Genomic DNA, 20216 nt, shown 5'->3' with positions numbered 1-20216 from the left:
TTATAAAACCAAATGCATCCTTACCTTCTGCCCCAATATAGTATCCCTTCCCTTAAGGAACCTCTGTTTATTATTTGAATTACTTACAGTGAAGTGACTTTTTTCCTCGTCTTTGCAGGTCTAGTCGATTATCTCTCAATGTGTCATATTTATACCTTTCTCTCATTTTGAATACCACTTTTAGGGCTAGCACTTATCTTCTGTTTGGACCTCTCATTTTCCATTTTCTCATCTTTTAGATTCATCCTATATGTAATTAATCCTTCAGAATAAAAAAAATCTATTGGTTACTCATTGCCTATAAACTGCTAAGTCTGGTAAAAAACTATCCATTATCTGATTCTAAACTTGTCTTTCTGAGTTTTTCGATTACTTATAGTCCACACAGATCTTTAGACAATAAAGTTATCAGGGCGGGTTTTTTTTTCTTTCTTTTTTTTTTTTAATCTTGTTCAGTCAGTCACTACAATGTATCTGTCTCTTAGGACAGTGTTGATATGTATCCATAGAAGGTTTTAACAATAATTTTCTGAGTGAATGGATGAAATTGCACTTTTTGCTCTTCCTCATATGTGTTTTAAATCTCCCACATGCATGCTTCTGAATGTTTTTCAAAATCTGGTTTGCTTTACAGAAGGCTTAGTTTGTATGAGTAACCAGTGTAACATCTTTCATCTCTGAATTATCATAGCATTTACCACATACCCTTCTCAAATTTTAAATATTAGTGAATATGTCAAGCTCTTGTATTAGATATCGATCTCTTTAAAAATTAAAAACCTGCCTGGCATGGTAGCTCATGCCTGTAATCCCAGCACTTTGGGAGGCTGAGGTGAGAGGATTGCTTGAGCCCAGGAGTTTGAGAATAGCCTGCGCAATGTAGTGAGACCCTGTCTCTACAAAAAATTAAGAAAATTAGCTGGGTGTGGTGTCACACGCCTGTAATCCCAGATACTCGGGAGGCTGAGGTGGGAGGATTGCTTGAGCCAGGAGTTTAGTACTGTAGTGAGCCATAATCGCTCTACTGCATTCCAGCCTGGCAACAGAATGAGACCCTGTATCAAAAAATAAAATAAAATAAATAAAACCATGGGTTGTGTGTATCTGTGGGTGTGTTCATGTATGTATTGAAGAATAAATTTAATCATTTAAATTGTGTCAGAAAAGTTTTTAAAATAAAAAATTATTAATTACATTATAGTGTAAAATATAAAGTGTTCATCTGATACTGAAAATGCCAGAGTAGAAAGTGTATCTTTGTCAAGTAGAAATGTATCCCTTGATTTATCTCTTTGACATTTGTCTCTTTAAATAATGAAAGTTTCTTTGTAAACCTTGAAGTTTCCAAGTTAGGTGCTGATTACTTCCTCCTTCCTTCCCTTCCTTCCTTCCTTCCTTCCTTCCTTGCTTCCTTCCTTCCTTTTCACGCAGAGTTGCACTCTTGTCGCCAAGGTGTTGGAGTGTAGTGATGTGATCTGGGCCCACTGCAGCTTCTGCCCGCAGATCTCAGGCATCTTTCCACACCTCAGCCTCCCAAGTAGCTGGGACTACAGGCATGTGCCTCTGTGCCTGGCAAATTTTTGTATTTTTTTGTAGAGACGGGAGTTTCACCATGTGGCCCAGGCCAGTCTTGAACTCCTGGGCTCAAGCAACACTCCTGCCTCGGCCTCCCAAAGTTGCTGGGATCACAGGCGTGAGCTACTGTGCCCGGCCTAGGCACTAATTTCTGTGTAGGTGTTGTCTTTAAAAGAAGATTTGTGTTTAGCTATTTTCTACTAGATAATTTTTTTTAAAAGTCTATGCCAAAACAGTAATGCCTTAGGGAAAAATGTATTAATACATCTTAAACCCTTTTCAGATTCATGGATTTGTATTGCAGTTATGACTCTTGTTCAGCCTATACAGGAACTTAGTTTGGTATTCTTTGGTCTTCATATAGTCCTAAATAGAAAGTTCATTACTTTCTTTCTATAAAAAATGTTCATTTGTTCATTCATTGAATCGTTCCTCATTTAAGGAATGCTTAACTCATGCCAGGCAGTGTTCTATAGGTAAGATCATAAAGTAACAGCCTTTGTATCAGTCTGGATATGACCAGGAAAGAGAAATTACATAGTAATTTGAACAAGGAAAGTTTAATATAAAGAATTTAAAAACTATAACATTGGGATTGGGGTAACAAGGGATGGGCTACTAGTAAGTGAAGGAAATTCTAAAGACTATAGAAATAACAAATATAAAGCAGCTACTAGTCTTAGGGCTGAGACGGAGCACCCAGGGAAGAAGCCCTATCTGGGTGTGAGATCCAGACTCCAATGGAGAGGGCACAGCTGTGTGGCTCATTGGATAGCAGAGAAGTTGCTGTGGTGCCACACTGGCAGAATTTTCTGGAATCCTGCCCTTTGGGGTGCCCAGGAAAGCTGCCCTCAGAGAAATGCCATTCCTTAGAACTTGCTGGAAAGCCATATGAGAGGTACTGGGGAAGCTGTTTGCAAGAGATGCCTCACTCGCAGCAGACTACTATAAAGCCTCCTAAGGTGAAGCTATTAACTAGGATCGTGTTACTGGGGAAACTCCCTTAAAAAACTAACAAAGGGAAGCTGCTGGCCACTTGGTACTGTTGGAAATTGTACACTCCAGTAATCAGGTGCAGGAGATGCCTCCTGGGCTGCAGGAACCAGGCAGTAGAAAGGCTTCAAGTGCTGCAAGAGCCAGGGGTACTCTGCTATAAGGTAGGGGAATGCTGAGGGAAACCTTTGGCTGCCAGTACCTGCAGGAGCCAGGCACTGCAGAAACTGCCCACTGCATAGGAGCCTGGTGGACACCTGTGCTATAGGAAATGGGCCCTAGGGAAGATGCAGGTACAATAGGAGCCAGCCCTTGATGAGCCATAAGCTTTGCAGGAGCCTGCAGAGTGTCTCACTGGAACCAGGAGCAAGTTCTCTCTTTTTGCATTGTCCCTTTAGTACCCTCTCCTGACAAAGTTTGACATCATGCCAGTTGCTAAAAGGAAAAATATCCAGAGTCCAGATCCATTTTCACAGATCAGGCAGTGAGGGGCAGATTTGGAGCTGAGAGGCAATAAGTTGATAATTGGTACAGTCCACCCCTTTGGATACTCAGCCTCTGTTTGTACCCTTCTACACATATTTGAATTCCTGTACAATAAAACAAATCTATATTTCTACCTAATAACATACAACTATCATTTTTTACAAATGTAGACATTCTCACCCTTTCCTCTAAAGGAGAAGCCCTTGTTTATGTAACTGGTCAAGAGGCCATAATTGGTATGTATGGCTTCCTTTTATTACCCATTCCATATTTCTCTCACCCTCAGCTAGAACTTCACCTGGACAGGATCTTTATCTGGTAAAATGTCCCATTCTCAAAGAATCTCAATCCTCAAAGATTTAGCTGTGTTTTGGTTGTAGTTTTTCATTAACTTTTACTTTAGGCATGCAAGTCCTGAGGCACCATAGAGAATCCCCTGGTTCAAGACACGTTTCTCTTTGCCAAACTATTATGTAGAAGCACCCCAGTTTCCCTTTGGTTATTGAGAACAATCACTCAAGCCAGTAGATTAACTTCCTCTTTTTCAGCCTGTTGATTCAGTGGCATATGGTACCCCAGTTAGCCAAGTGGCATCTTAAAATTAAAGTAGAAGCATTCTTCTGTTAAATAGGAAGGAGTTAAAAATAGTTAACCACCTGAGAAGGAAAGAAATGCCTTTATTTTGAAATAAATATTTGGCATGAGTAGAGTTTCCAAAGATAAGGTATATAAGTATTTATTCATTTGTGCATTGATAAATGCTATTATTTGCCAGGTACTAAGTACTGGGAATTTCAGAGTTACTAATTTGTGATTCTATAACAGTGTCAGTGAGTCAAGGACAGTCAGTGTGATAAAAATTCTAACATGGGAGATATTAGGAGATAGAGTGGCAGACTACAGAGTTTACTTCAATATGACACCTCATTCTCGAAAGGAATTTGTATCATGTCTAGGAAATATATCTTTAATATATTACTGTTTGTGTGTGTGTATGTATGTTTGTATATGGAGAGAGTGGGAGAGAGAGAAATCAGACTACAAAATCTATCTGGGGATATAAACAGTGGCCAGATTGTGAAGAATCACATTTGCTAATTTAAGAGGTTTGGCTTTTATCCAACAGATTGTGGGGAGGCAAATGAGGTACATGACATGGTAAGTTTTGTTTTGGAGAAGATAACACTGGTGGCCTTATAAAAGAAGAAATGCAGTAGGGGGAATCCAGCTGACAGGAGATCAGTTAAAAGATTGTTACAGTAATAAAAGCAAGAGATGATTAGCTCCTGAACTAGAACAGTGACCTTAAGAGGGAGGTGAGGTTGGGTTTTAGAAACATTTCCAGGCAAGAGTCTTTTGCCTGTGGTATTAGCTTAAGAGTAGGTAAGAAAAGGGAGAATGTAGAGTGGCATACACAGGACAAGTCTTTACCAAATGTTTACTTAGTATCTGCTTTATAAGGGGACAGTTCTTGATATCATTTACTAACAGCAAATTTCACTTTATAATTATGTGTATGCATATACACACATATACATACAGATATTCACATATATATGATATGCATGCTAAATATACACATGTATGTTAAACAGACATAAGATAAAGGTTATATATAGTAATTTTAACATTAAAATATATATAATTGTTTATTCTTATTTAATTACAAATTATTATATTTGTTAACTCTAAAGATTTAGAATTTACTTTGTTGTTGTTCTGCCATTGTGATTGTCTCTTTTTCAGTTGCTGGTGGTTTGCGATCAGTTTTATTTTGTTCTGGGTGAAAGATATTTTAAATTATGATTTCAAATATGACTAATAGTTAAAGAGTAGCTTCAATCAGTTTTTATTTACTATTTATTTGAAATATTGTCTGAATATATGGTAGTAATGTGTTCATATTAATAATACCTTCTAAAATTAGAGATTTGTGTTTTAGTCCTAACTACTCTACAGTACATCAGCTACCTTCTTATAATTCATCTAATTTCTTTTACCCTGAAATTTCTTGTCTAAAAAATGAAGAAATTGAACAAGAATGATTTCTAGGATCCTTTCTAGTTGTTAAATACAATGATTCTTATATTGTATATTTATTGTTTAAAATGATTGCCAAATTATGTAATTTTTGTATAAACCATATCCTAACCCTTCATCCTCCAGAATGTAGAGTTTAGATATTTGTGAAGAAAAAATATAGACAGATTTGAGGAGTGTTGTAGTGTTACACTCTTTAATTTTGGTGGAAAAGTAGAAGGGCCTTCTCTAAGAAAAGAAAAACTGCTATTGAATTGACTTTCTGAGAGTGAGAATTAGAAAGGAGTAAATTTAGTGATAGGGAAATGTCATGTAGGTGAGGAGATGTATTTGAGGGTATTGGCATTTATGTATAATGTGATAGCACAGAAATCCAAAGAGTTGTGACGAGGTGAGTACAGCAGTAATGGTGGTATATAGAGGGTAACTAGAATGTAAGTTCCTTGAGAGTACAGATTTTTGTATGTTTTGTTCATTACTGTATCCTCACCACTAATAATAATGTCTGGCACAGGTTTGGTGCCCCACTTGCTGGCTTAGTAATCTTGGGCAATTGACTTAACTTTGCCTCAGTTTCTCCAACTATAAAATGAAAGAAAGAATGAATACTTGAAGGAAGCAAGCAAGAAAGAAAAATTTAGAATTATTTGGCTAGGAAGAGCTAATAAACCAGTGACTAAATGTGAGATGATTAGAACTTTCCAAAGGACTTGGGTATGATGGAAATAGTTTAGAATAAACTTTTAGCAGTGAAGTATCAGAATTTACCATCAACTATGGTCTGACTGTGTCCCCTAAAATTTGTATTTTTGGAATTTAAAACCTAATATGATAGTATTAAGAGTTAGGGCATTTAGGAAGTAATGAAATCATGAGCCCTCATAAATGCAATTAGTGACCTTATAAAAGAGCTTCAAGGGAGCTGTTCAGTCCCTCCTGCCGTGTGAGGATGCAGTAACAAGGTGCCATCCTATGGAGAAGAGAGCAAGCCTTTACCAGGCACTGAATCTGCTGGTACCTTGATGTTGGATTTCCCAGCCTCCAGAATGGTGAGAAATAAACTCCTATTATTAATTAGTTAACTACTCTGAGGTATTTTGTTATAGTAGCCCAAAGAGACTAAGATACCATCCTAAGAGAATAAAGGAAGAAAATAAAGTATAAAAAATTTAGGTTTATTTGAAACCACCAAAATGTCTTCCAGAGTGGCTGTACCATTTTGTATTCCCACCATAAATGAATGAGAGTTTCTTTTCCACATCTTCATCAGCATTTGTTGTCAGTGTTCTGGATTTTGGCCATTCTAATAGGTGCGTAGTGGTATCTCATTGTTTTAATTTGCCTTTCCCTGATGACATGTGATGGGGAACATCTTTTCATATGCTTATTTGTCATTTGTATATCTTTGCTGAGGTTGGTGAGGCATCAGTTACAGTTTTTGACCCATTTCTTAATTGGGTTGTTTGTTTTCTTATTATAGAATTTTAAGAGTTTTGTATATTTTGGATAACAGGCTCTTATCAGATATGCCCTCTGCAAATATTTCCTCTAAAGTCCGTGGCTGCTTTTTAAATTTTCTTGACAGTGTTTTTCACAGAACAAAAATTTTAAATTTATTCATTTTTTATTTTATTTTATTTTATTATTATTATACTTTAAGTTTTAGGGCACATGTGCACAATGTGCAGCTTAGTTACATATGTATACATGTGCCATGCTGGTGGGCTGCACCCATTAACTCATCATTTAGCATTAGGTATATCTCCTAATGTTACCCCTCCCCCCTCCCCCGACCCCACAACAGTCCCCAGAGTGTGATGTTCCCCTTCCTGTGTCCATGTGTTCTCATTGTTCAATTCCCACCTATGAGTGAGAACATGCGGTGTTTGGTTTTCTGTCCTTGCGATAGTTTACTGAGAATCATGATTTCCAGTTTCATCCATGTCCCTACAAAGGACATGAACTCATCATTTTTTCTGGCTGCATAGTATTCCATGGTGTATATGTGCCACATTTTCTTAATCCAGTCTATCATTGTTGGACATTTGGGTTGGTTCCAAGTCTTTGCTATTGTGAATAGTGCCGCAATAAACATATGTGTGCATGTGTCTTTATAGCAGCATGATTTATAATCCTTTGGGTATATACCCAGTAATGGGATGGCTGGGTCAAATGGTATTTCTGGTTCTAGATCCCTGAGGAATCGCCACACTGACTTCCACAATGGTCGAACTAGTTTACAGTCCCACCAACAGTGTAAAAGTGTACCTATTTCTCCACATCCTCTCCAGCACCTGTTGTTTCCTGACTTTTTAATGATGTTCATTCTAACTGGTGTGAGATGGTATCTCATTGTGGTTTTTATTTGCATTTCTCTGATGGCCAGTGATGGTGAGCATTTTTTCATGTGTTTTTTGGCTGCATAAATGTCTTCTTTTGAGAAGTGTCTGTTCATATCCTTCGCCCACTTTTTGATGGGGTTGTTTGTTTTTTTCTTGTAAATTTGTTTGAGTTCATTGTAGATTCTGGATATTAGCCCTTTGTCAGATGAGTAGGTTGCAAAAATTTTCTCCCATGTTGTAGGTTGCCTGTTCACTCTGATGGTAGTTTTTTTTGCTGTGCAGAAGCTCTTTAGTTTAATTAGATCCCATTTGTCAATTTTGGCTTTTGTTGCCATTGCTTTTGGTGTTTTAGACATGAAGTCCTTGCCCATGCCTATGTCCTGAATGGTAACACCTAGGTTTTCTTCTAGGGTTTTTATGGTTTTAGGTCTAACGTTTAAGTCTTTAATCCATCTTGAATTAATTTTTGTAAAAGGTGTAAGGAGGGGATCCAGTTTCAGCTTTCTACATATGGCTAGCCAGTTTTCCCAGCACCATTTATTAAATAGGGAATCGTTTCCCCATTGCTTGTTTTTGTCAGGTTTGTCAAAGATCAGATAGTTGTAGTTATGCGGCGTTATTTCTGAGGGCTCTGTTCTGTTCCGTTGATCTATATATCTGTTTTGGTACCAGTACCACACTGTTTTGGTTACTATAGCCTTGTAGTATAGTTTGAAGTCAGGTAGCATGATGCCTCCAGCTTTGTTCTTTTGGCTTAGGATTGACTTGGCGATGCGGGCTCTTTTTTGGTTCTATATGAACTTTAAAGTAGTTTTTTCCAATTCTGTGAAGAAAGTCATTGGTAGCTTTATGGGGATGGCATTGAATCTATAAAATACCTTGGGCAGTATGGCCATTTTCATGATATTGATTCTTCCCACCCATGAGCATGGAATGTTCTTCCATTTGTTTGTATCCTCTTTTATTTCATTGAGCAGTGTTTTGTAGTTCTCCTTGAAGAGGTCCTTCACATCCCTTGTAAGTTGGATTCCTAGGTATTTTATTCTCTTTGAAGCAATTGTGAATGGGAGTTAACTCATGATTTCGCTGTCTGTCTGTTATTGGTGTATAAGAATGCTTGTGATTTTTGTACATTGATTTTGTATCCTGAGACTTTGCTGAAGTTGCTCATCAGCTTCAGGAGATTTTGGGCTGAGACAATGGGGTTTTCTATATATACAATAATGTCATCTGCAAACAGGGACAATTTGACTTCCTCTTTTCCTAATTGAATACCCTTTATTTCCTTCCCCTGCCTAATTGCCCTGGCCAGAACTTCCAACTCTATGTTGAATAGGAGTGGTGAGAGAGGGCATCCCTGTCTTGTGCCCGTTTTCAAAGGGAATGCTTCCAGTTTTTGCCCATTCAGTATGATATTGGCTGTGGGTTTGTCATAGATAGCTCTTATTATTTTGAGATATGTCCCATCAATACCTAATTTATTGAGAGTTTTTAGCATGAAGTGTTCTTGAATTTTGTCAAAGGCCTTTTCTGCATCTGTTGAGATAATCATGTGGTTTTTGTCTTTGGTTCTGTTTATATGCTGGATTACATTTATTGATTTGCGTGTATTGAACCAGCCTGGCATATCAGGGATGAAGCCCACTTGATCATGGTGGATAAGCTTTTTGATATGCTGCTGGATTCGGTTTTCCAGTATTCTATTGAGGATTTTTGCATCAATGTTCATCAAGGATATTGGTCTAAAATTCTCTTTTTTCGGTGTGTCTCTGCCCGGCTTTGGTATCAGGATGATGCTGGCCTCATAAAATGAGTTAGGGAGGATTCCCTCTTTTTCTATTGATTGGAATAGTTTCAGAAGGAATGGTACCAGTTCCTCCTTGTACCTCTGGTAGAATTCGGCTGTGAATCCATCTGGTCCTGGACTCTTTTGGTTTGGTAAGCTACTGATTATTGCCACAATTTCAGATCCTGTTATTGGTCTATTCAGAGATTCAACTTCTTCCTGGTTTAGTCTTGGGAGGGTGTGTGTGTCGAGGAATTTATCCATTTCTTCTAGATTTTCTAGTTTATTTGCGTAGAGGTGTTTGTAGTATTCTTTGATGGTAGTTTGTATTTCTGTGGGATTGGTGGTGATATCCTCTTTATCATTTTTTTTCCATCTATTTGATTCTTCTCTCTTTTCTTCTTTATTAGTCTTGCTAGCGGTCTATCAATTTTGTTGATCCTTTCAAAAAACCAGCTCCTGGATTCATTAATTTTTTGAAGGGTTTTTTTTGTGTCTCTATTTCCTTCAGTTCTGCTCTGATTTTAGTTATTTCTTGCCTTTTGCTAGTTTTTGAATGTGTTTGCTCTTGCTCTTCTAGTTCTTTTAATTGTGATGTTAGGGTGTCAATTTTGGATCTTTCCTGCTTTCTCTTGAGGGCATTTAGTGCTATAAATTTCCCTCTACACACTGCTTTGAATGTGTCCCAGAGATTGTGGTATGTTGTGTCTTTGTTCTCATTGGTTTCAAAGAACATCTTTATTTCTGCCTTCATTTCATTATTTATGTACCCAGTAGTCATTCAGGAGCAGGTTGTTCAGTTTCCATGTAGTTGAGTGGTTTTGAGTGAGTTTCTTAATCCTGAGTTCTAGTTCGATTGCCCTGTGGTCTGAGAGACAGTTTGTTATAATTTCTGTTCTTTTATATTTGCTGAGGAGAGCTTTACTTCCAACTATGTGGTCAATTTTGGAATAGGTGTGGTATGGTGCTGAAAAAAATGTATATTCTGTTGATTTGGGGTGGAGAGTTCTGTAGATGTCTATTAGGTCTGCTTGGTGCAGAGCTGAGTTCAATTCCTGGGTATCCTTGTTGACTTTCTGTCTCGTTGATCTGTCTAATGTTGACAGTGGGGTGTTAAAGTCTCCCATTATTATTGTGTGGGAATCTAAGTCTCTTTGTAGGTCACTTAGGACTTGTTTTATGAATCTGGGTGCTCCTGTATTGGGTGCATATGTATTTGGGACAGTTAGCTCTTCTTGTTGAATTGATCCCTTTGCCATTATGTAATGGCCCTCTTTGTCTCTTTTGATCTCTGTTGGTTTAAAGTATGTTTTATCAGAGACTAGGATTGCAACCTCTGCCTTTTTTTGTTTTCCATTTGCTTGGTAGATCTTCCTCCATCCTTTTATTTTGAGCCTATGTCCTATGTGTGTCTCTGCATGTGAGATGGGTTTCCTGAATACAGCACACTGATGGGTCTTGACTCTTTATCCAATTTGCCAGTCTGTGTCTTTTAATTGGAGCATTTAGTCCATTTACATTTAAAGTTAATATTGTTATGTGTGAATTTGATCCTGTCATTATGATGTTAGCTGGTGATTTTGCTCGTTAGTTGATGCAGTTTCTTCCTAGCCTCGATGGTCTTTACAATTTGGCATGATTTTGCAGTGGCTGGTACCGGTTGTTCCTTTCCATGTTTAGTGCTTCCTTCAGGAGCTCTTTTAGGTCAGGCCTGGTGGTGGCGAAATCTCTCAGCATTTGCTTGTCTGTAAAGTATTTTATTTTTCCTTCACTTATGAAGCTTAGTTTGGCTGGATATGAAATTCTGGGTTGAAAATTCTTTTCTTTAAGAATGTTGAATATTGGCCCCCACTCTCTTCTGGCTTGTAGCGTTTCTGCTGAGAGATCTGCTGTTAGTCTGATGGGCTTCCCTTTGAGGGTAACCCGACCTTTCTCTCTGGCTGCCCTTAACATTTTTTCCTTCATTTCAACTTTGGTGAATCTGACAATTATGTGTCTTGGAGTTGCTCTTCTCGAGGCATATCTTTGTGGCGTTCTCTGTATTTCCTGAATCTGAATGTTGGCCTGCCTTGCTAGATTGGGGAAATTCTGGATAATATCCTGCAGAGTGTTTTCCAACTTGGTTCCATTCTCCCTGTCACTTCCAGGTACACCAATCAGACGTAGATTTGGTCTTTTCACATAGTCCCATATTTCTTGGAGGCTTTGTTTGTTTCTTTTTATTCTTTTTTCTCTAAATTTCCCTTCTTGCTTCATTTCATTCATTTCATCTTCCATCACTGATACCCTTTCTTCCAGTTGATCGCATCGGCTCCTGAGGCTTCTGCATTCTTCACATAGTTCTCGAGCCTTGGCTTTCAGCTCCATCAGCTCCTTTAAGCACTTCTCTGTATTGGTTATTCTAGTTATACATTCGTCTAAAATTTTTTCAAAGTTTTTAACTTCTTTGCCTTTGGTTTAAATTTCCTCCTGTAGCTCAGAGTAGTTTGATCGTCTGAAGCCTTCTTCTCTCAACTCGTCAAAGTCATTCTCTATCCAGCTTTGTTCCGTTGCTGGTGAGGAACTGTGTTCCTTTGGAGGAGGAGAGGCGCTCTGCTTTTTAGAGTTTCCAGTTTTAATGAAATCCAGCTTATCAATTAATTTTTTCATGGTTCATGACTTTGGTGTTGTCTCTAAAAGTCATTGCCAAGCCCTAGTTCATGTAGATTTTCTCCTGTATTATCCTCTAGGAGTTTTATAGTTTTGCATTTTACATTTAGGTCTGTGATTCATTTTGAGTAAATTTTCATGAAAAGTGTGAGGACTGTATCTAGATTCATTTTTTTGGCATGTGGATGTCCACTTCTTCCAGCACCATTTATTGATAAGACTGTCTTTTATTCATTGTATTGCCTTTGCTTCTTTGTCAAAGATTAGTTGATTATATTTATGTGGGTCTATTTGTGGGCTCTCTATTCTGTTTCATTGATCTAATTGTATGTTCTTTTATAAATGCTACACTGTTTTGAATATTGTAGCTTTATAATAAGTTTTGAACTCAGATAGTGTCAGTCCTCCAACTTTGTTCTTTCAGAATTGTGTTGACTATTCTGTGTCTTTTGCTTCTCGATAGAAACTTTAGAATCACCTTCTTGTTTTCCACAAGAAAACTTGCTGGGATTTTGATTGGGATTGTAATCTATAGATCAAGTTGGAAGGACTGACATCTTCACAGTATTGAGTCTTCCTACCCATGAACATGGAATATCTCTCCATTTATTTAGTTCTTTGATTTCTTTTATCAGAGTCTTTAGTTTTCCTTATATAGATTGTATACATATTTTGTTAGATTTATATGTAATTATTTAATAGAGCATTTTTATGATACTATAATGGTGGATACATGTCACTGTAAATTTGTTTTATCCTAGAGTGTGAACTCTGATGTAAATTAGGGACTCAGATGACAATGATGTATCAATATAGGTTCATTGACTGTAACAATGTACCAGTGTGGTTGGGTATGTTAATAATGGAGGAAGCCATGGGTGTGTGAGGGCAGGGAGAACATGGGACATTTCTGTACTTTCTGCTCAGTTTTGCTATGAATGTAAAAGTATTCTAAGAAATAAATTCTATTTTTAAAAAATGTACAAAATATTGTTTTTGCATTATGTAAAATTTCTGTTCTCCAAACATTTTCTTATAAGTCTCACTTAATTTGAATATTAGAGTTTTTCTTAAGTGAGACTATTTAGTAGTTAATGTTGTGGTTTTCAGATACCCTGCTGCTCCCGTTTTTGGTCTGAACTTTAAAATGTGAATATAAATTAAATGTGTTTAAACAGTTTTTTTCTTTATGGTTTCCACTAATTTTTTAAAAATTTTATGAGGAATTCATTACATTCCCATCTGCAACAGTTTACTGTTTATACTTATAGTTATTTATGATGCTTAAATTTCTAAATTAAGTATTGATTCAGTTAAAAATCAGGTGAGGTCTCTAATACATGTTTCTTGGATTTTATTAATAAATGCTTTCTTAGGGAATATAAATCTGCCCCTCAGTAACTCATTTAACCCTGCAGTAACTCCTATAACTCTAGCTGAAGTGTAGGATTTCTACAAAAGAATGAGGCACAATCTAGATAGGTGATACAGAGGCTAGAATAGTGTGAGTAGCAATGTGTCTATATGATACCTTTACCTGTAAGGCATGCTAGTTAAAATTGTGCTATTTTTCATAGTGGTGATTATACTAGATGGATTGTCTTTCTGCTGTGTCCATGGGAATCTGATAAATGTCTTTTTCTCCTCCCTCAAAATACATGCCTATTTAATTGCTTAAAACAATTCTAGTTTTATTAATAGACTGATTTCTTCTAATAAATATAGTTTAAGAAGAAGGAACAAATCAGATTTTGTATCACAAAGCAGGACAACTTTGGTTCAGTTTCAAACTTAGGTGTACTCATAGACATAAGTTGAGATGATAACTTGTAGAATTTGTATCAATGATCTTATCCTTTTAACATTTTCTGGGAGAGTCTGTTTTATTAGTTACCTGCTGTAGTTACAGTCTGTGTTGCCTGAGGAAAGTTTTGTAAATCAGATCTCTGTCTATCATAGATTTCTCATACAAAGGTCAATGGCTCTTGTTTGATTGTCCGGTCCAAAGATGCATTCTCTATTATACAATTAGTATAAAACACAATATTTTCAGTCAGTGGATGCTATTCAAAGCCTCATAATGATGATAATTTAAAATCTTTGTATATTGAAGGCAGTTTGAAATAGTGGTTACTATACTTTGGATCTAGCCTGCCTCCAGTTGTATCCTGGCTTTGCTGTTGATAAGCTCTGTGATCGTGGGCAGTTGGTTGAACTTTGTCTTAGTGCCTTGATCTGATAAGTAGAAGTAATGATAATAGTACTTGATGAGGTTGTTGTGAGGATTAGGTATGAGTAGTTCAAGTACTCATAACAGTTCTTGGCACATGGTAAACATTATGTAAACATTTGTTGTTGCTATTATTTTCAATGGCACTACCTATGTTTAGACCTGGTGACCTGGGACCAGAAGTTTCAAATGCCTTTGTTCTATGACTGAGTTAACTGTTGCAGACCTTTGCTGTCAGGTTTCTCTGTCTGGTTTCACAGGCATTAGTTCTTGTCCCTTCTCATGATTCCCATATATACTTATGTTGTAATTGAAGTCCATAGTAAATCAGTATTACCAATGTTTCTATTTTGCATTAGTCAGCTCTTTGGAACTGTATTAGTTCAATATATTGGGTATGCTTTATGAAAATATATGTGCATTTTAAATATCATATGTCACATAAAGATAAGAAATTTTTTTCCATAAACCTTTATTTGGTAAATTCATTTTTATCTGAAAATTATAACAGTGTATTATTCAGTTTCAGGGTATAATGCCAGAGATATGTTTGAACTGAAACATGGAAATTCTTCCCTTTACCCTTTTCTCTGCTTTCGTGAGGAACAATTGTGGTATTAAAGAAGCAACTGACGATATTAGAAAAGCAATGTGGAGTCTTGGCCCTGTCACTAATCAGACATATGATACTTGGGTAATTCTAGCCCAAAGAAAGACTATATGATATTTCATTTTTCTTTAAGCTTAAAGATTCAATATATCATAAATAATGTTAAATTAATAAGATTCTTCTTACTTGGCTTATTAAATTGTTCTCATTTCTTTGTAGTACTTTATATTGCAAACCAAACTTCTAAAATATGTAGTTTATTTTCCTTTAATTTGTGTATTCTCAAAATGTTCCAGGTAAATAGTTTATTATGATAGCACTCTCTTCAGAGGTATGTAAAAATGTCATCCAGAATAATATTTAGAGTCTTTGCCATGTCCTAGAAGGCTCTATTTTCCTTTAATTTGTATATTTTTCTTTAATTTGTATATTCTCAAATGTTCCAGGTAAATAGTTTATTATGATAGCACTCTCTTCAGAGGTATGTAAAAATGTCATCGAGAATAATATTTAGAGTCTTTGCCGTGTCCTAGAAGGCTCTCCATCATTGATTCTGCTTCTCTATCTGACCTCATCTCCTGCCATTCTCCCACTTCCTCCAGTCTGATCTCACTGACTTCCCCATTGCTCTGTGAAGATGCCAAGCATGTTCTCACCTGGGACTTCTGAATGCCTCGTTTAATTTACCTGGAATGCTCTTCTTCCCAAATCCACGAGTTTACTCTCTCCCTTCAGTTAGGTTTCAGTTCATATGTCACCACGTTAGAGTTCTTCTGTAATCCTCCTATCTAAAATAGCTCCCCACCCCCATCACTCCCTACTTTAGGTTTCTTTATAGATCTAATCTCTGACAATATTTATTTTACTTGTTTATTGTTTGCTTTCTCCACTAACACATAAGCTCCATAGAAACGGGGACTTTGTTCTGTTTAGTACTGTGTCCCTGTTGCCTCATAGGGATTTCGATTGCATATAGCAGGCACTCAAAATTTTTGTTGAATTAAGCAAAAAAATTATTATAATATTTTCAGTTGCATAATTACCTTATGGACTTTAGAGCACCTACTTTATTAAAGCACTTTAAAGCACTTAAACTTTTAGATATATTTTGAAAGTGGATCTGAATTATAGTCCAGTCATAGTATTCCGTTAGCCACCAGGGTAGAAGAAATCTCAATACATAAGAATATAAAAAAGATAGAATTCATCTGATCTAAAAATAAAGAATGTTTGATCTATGAGAGAAAATACTTACAGATCATCTAGCATAGAGTTCTTATTTTAAAGATCAGAAAACTGAGACATGGTTATATTTGTAGATGTGCCAGAGATCACATGGCTTGTTGGTGGCAGAGCCCTAATTTTGTGTCTGTAATATACATGTTATGATTTTATGCAATTTACATATGAATGTGTTACATTTTCTAGTAAATTTGTTTTATTTTATTTACTTGCAACTTTGCTATCATCTGTAAAAGAATATGCCATAATAGTATTTTCTCATTTTTTTTTAAGTTTCACAGCTCTTGCATGCTACTAGGTGAATATGGAGGATTATCTTTGGGATGCTTCCGTCTTCTTTGGAAATCTCCATTTAGGTGTCTCATGGTTAACAGAATAAATATTTGCCAAAGCAGATTCCTTATAATTCTACTTAAACCTGACACTTTTGCTATATTACCTTTAATAATTCATTCTGGTTGCTTAGTTCCAGAACTGTGGTTGGGAAGGAGTTGTCATATATTTTTTCCTCTCCTTGTCACCTATACCCCACATCCAGAAAGTTGCCAAGTCCTGTAGACTCGGTTCTCTTCTGGTAGATCTTGATTAGCAGGCATAACCCTCTACCAGATGCTGGCCATTGCAGAAATTTTGTGACTCTGCATATAATTACAGAAACCATCCTCTAAGAAATCAGTCAAATTCATCAGATAATGTTGAATTTTGTTAGCGAATAACTAATAAAACTTCATTTAAGGATGACCAGTAAGGAGGCAGGGAAAGTATTTACATGGCATTTAGTAGAGTGCTTTGGACTCTGGGTATGCCCAGTGAAATAAATTGCCCAGTGAAATAAAGTGAGGTATTAAATATAATACCTCACATTAAGAACGTGTTTTTCCTCTTGCTACAGTTTTTATTTGCTCAGTAACAAAAAAAGAACACTCTCTCTTTTTTGTTGTTTTTAAGGCTTTAAATGAGCTGTTTAAAAAGTCATCTGTGTGCAGATTGAGAAATTGAATAATTAGCTGCCTTTCAACGCTTCATAAGCTCTTTTAGCCCATCAGGTTAAAAAGGGGGTGGAAAGAGTTAATACAGTCTTAAAGAGGCCTAATTTACAACTAAGGAGTACCTGAGAGCTCTTGGAGAATTTGACACAATGAGTTAGATCAACCCCATTTTCATTTCCCTCTAGCTGCAGTTTGTAACATAAATAAATCCATGGTCTATAATTGTTAAATGGAAGTATTTGAATGCCTCCTAGTGGCATATTGTAGGCTCTAATTAAGGAATTTAAAAAGTAATACTTATTGAAGGAATACTATCATAACCTATTAAAGCTTGTAAGTACAAGGTAGTAAAATCCTTTAATGATAACATCCTAAGTGAAATCAAAATACATTATTTGCCATACAAAACTGATTAAAAACATGACTGGAAAAAATATAATACATATGGCAAAGATGCATATACTTTGAATAAAAATTTTTGGTTTTGGTTCAAATCGAGTTATTTTAATTTACTTTATGTAATGGATCTATTTTGCACTTAAACATAGACAAATGTGGCTAATAATAGGATTTGGATAGCTTTGTGTACATTCATTTTTTTAAATTAATTGTGCTTATCACTTAGTTTCTTTAAATATCTTTGTATAATAATAGAGAAAACGGTTTATAGAAAGTCTGGTTCATTTTCAGATTTTTTTTTAATTCTGATCTTCAAGTTGAATAAAATAATTTAATCGGTAACCTTGAAATACAGACTATAGCAAAACTTTAAAATGATTAAGAATGCTGATTTAATTATTGCTTTATGCATAAAAATGACTTTACATCTACAGAAATATAATTTAAAATGGAAAGAAAGTCACATTAAAAGAATTCTGATGAGGGTCAGAAGATGGGAGAAAAAAGTGATATCCTTTTGTTAAGTACTAAAAAATGTTTAATTAACTGCTTACCAAAACAAAACAATTAAAATGGCAATTACCTTTAAAATAGCAACAGTGTAATTACAGCTGTTGTGATATAAAGCTAGGAAACAAAATGTTAATCTGGAATGAACAGTTTAAATATGAAATTATGATATACTTGGCTTCCTGTAGTACAGCTGTCAAGCTTGGGCAGTTTGCTGGTCAATAGTGACATTCTATGTGTCAGTGAACAGAGTCTCTTGATACCGTAACCCGCAGTTCACACATTACTGAAGCTCCAACTGTCGAACATTCAAGTCCCCTGATATTATTGCAGCTTCCAGACTCTCCTAACTGGCTCATGTTTCATTCTTTGGCAATTTGCCCTAATGATATCCCTCAGGAGCTTTCAGCCTCTCTTCCTTTCCATATTTAATCATCTTATATTAATCTGAGTGATACACAAACTATGCTGTACAAATTGTAATTTCCTACAATTTTTCTAAGATGCACACCTAATTTTTCAGTTTTACTTTTACTTATGTTCTAAGTTTTCAATCCCAAACTCGGTATTTTCAGATGATTATAACTATCTACATGATTCCCAAGAAGCTTCTTTTGCTGTTTATATATGTTTCAGAGGGGCCTCTGAGATGTAAGACTTTTTACATGTAGAAGTGATAAAGACAATGTGATTTATGTAGTTATGTAAATTGTTCTGTGATTACTGTTCATTGTTGATACATTGAACATTGCTTTTTGTTTGGAAGGTCAGCAGCTACTTATTTTTGTTATCCTTTTACAAATTTCAGTTAACTGCCTGTATCCATGGATCAGCTGCTCTTCTATACCCAATGTATTGGCAACACATATACATCCCAGTGCTTCCTCCACACCTGCTGGACTACTGCTGGTAAGCTGGCTTTTGCCAGACTCCTTTAAGTTTAGGTTTCATGATTAGATTATCTGTTTATTTGTGAACTAGGTAAACTTGGGGGCATATTTAAAAGAAATCACAGAAACTTACATTTTAATAAATAGTAAAGATGGCTTTTATGAAGGACAGAATAATTCTGTACAAAGGTAGCGCAAGTTTATACCTAGCAAACATAAAGTTCTTTAGATTTTGTGAATTTCTTCTGCAGTCATTTAGATAACTCAATGCAAAATAGAAAAAAATAACAGTCTTAAGTTGTGTTAGGAAAACTGTATAGAAGTTATGGTGTCAGTTAGAGAACCCAGTATCCCAGGTGTCAGAATTTGTCTGGCAAATCTGCCAGCAACCACATTGTCTCTGTCAGGGCATACTCTTGTTACCTTTACTTCAGAATACACTTCTTTACCCCTCTTTTTTCAATAATAGCACACCAAATACCAAGTACTGATAAAGGGGTTGTCTCTAATACAAGAATTCTTGTTTTTTGTTTAAGTCAAAGTCTCAGCCTTGATCCACCATGAAAAGCAATGTTGAAAAGTATTGGGAGTAGTTCTGAAAAGTTTCCTGGCATTAGACACAATTCCTAAAGGATCCCAATAACCAGGCCTCTAGACCCTCCTTGTTCTCTTCACCTGGAAGAGTCTGCATATTTATCATGAGTCTAAACAAGGATTAGACTTCTAAATAGCAGCTTCTGGGCCTTCTTCAAGACTAGGGGGGGAAATGTTATCTTCATTGCATAATCATCTTCTGCAGGTATAGCCTAATTCTTAAGAAATGTGATGGGATTTTTCCTCTAAATCATTGTGCACACACATAGAAGGAAACAATTTTGACCTTAATGTGTTTGCTTATTTCACAGCTAATGTTACTAAAACACAGCACTTTTAGAATCAATGCACTCATTTAACTTTCTTATTTCATAAAAGGCAGAAAGTATTAAGGATTAAAAATGATTTAAGTTCATACACAGAGGGTTTCTATTAACTTTTTATGACTGAGCCTCTTCAGAACAAGTGATTGTAGTGACAACACATGTACTTGGCCACATATTGATTACGTTAATATATTGGTGTGTTTCCACAGCATGGTAATATTATTAGTATTGATAATGCTGTGAAGTAGGTGCCCAGTGACCTACCATTGCTATTATGCTGTTTGAGAACTAGAAAGGAGAAACTGTTTGGCAGGAAACTATAGGAATGTAGTTTATATTGTTAAGTGTCACACACACAAGTCTAAGAATAAAATAAATAGGCCCTTTGTTATTCATTTTAGAGTTTTCCTTTAACCAACATACCTATAATATTTTAGCATTCCTTAAAGGGAGGGTCTCATTTATTTATGTTGACATATGCAGTAGATCTTTGTATATACTGTTCAGTAATTAAACTTTATTTATTTAAAAATATATTTTACAGCAGTATTTGGA

The 20216-nt window shown here is 35.9% G+C and overlaps 1 protein-coding gene across 17 annotated transcripts in view; it reads left to right on the top strand.

Moving 5' to 3' along the window:
- DENND1B (DENN domain containing 1B) overlaps window positions 1-20216 on the top strand; it is a 277403-nt gene that overhangs the window by 145732 nt on the left and 111455 nt on the right. For 16 of the 17 annotated variants that reach the window (NR_125340.2, XM_011509248.3, XM_047447711.1 and 13 more), the window contains one exon: window positions 18660-18760. Coding sequence is in view for 15 of the 17 variants with exons in the window: in XM_011509248.3 (XP_011507550.1) it covers window positions 18660-18760 (101 nt within the window). In the remaining 2 variants the exon portion in view is untranslated. Of the gene's footprint in view, window positions 1-18659; window positions 18761-20216 lie in introns of those variants that run through there. The other variant, XM_047447715.1, reaches the window with a different exon arrangement.

This window comes from Homo sapiens, chromosome 1 (genome assembly GCF_000001405.40).
Source record: "Homo sapiens chromosome 1, GRCh38.p14 Primary Assembly".
Lineage (NCBI taxonomy): Eukaryota > Metazoa > Chordata > Mammalia > Primates > Hominidae > Homo > Homo sapiens.
The sequence above is the reverse complement of the archived record's forward strand: the minus strand, read 5'-3'. Positions and strand labels throughout refer to the sequence as shown.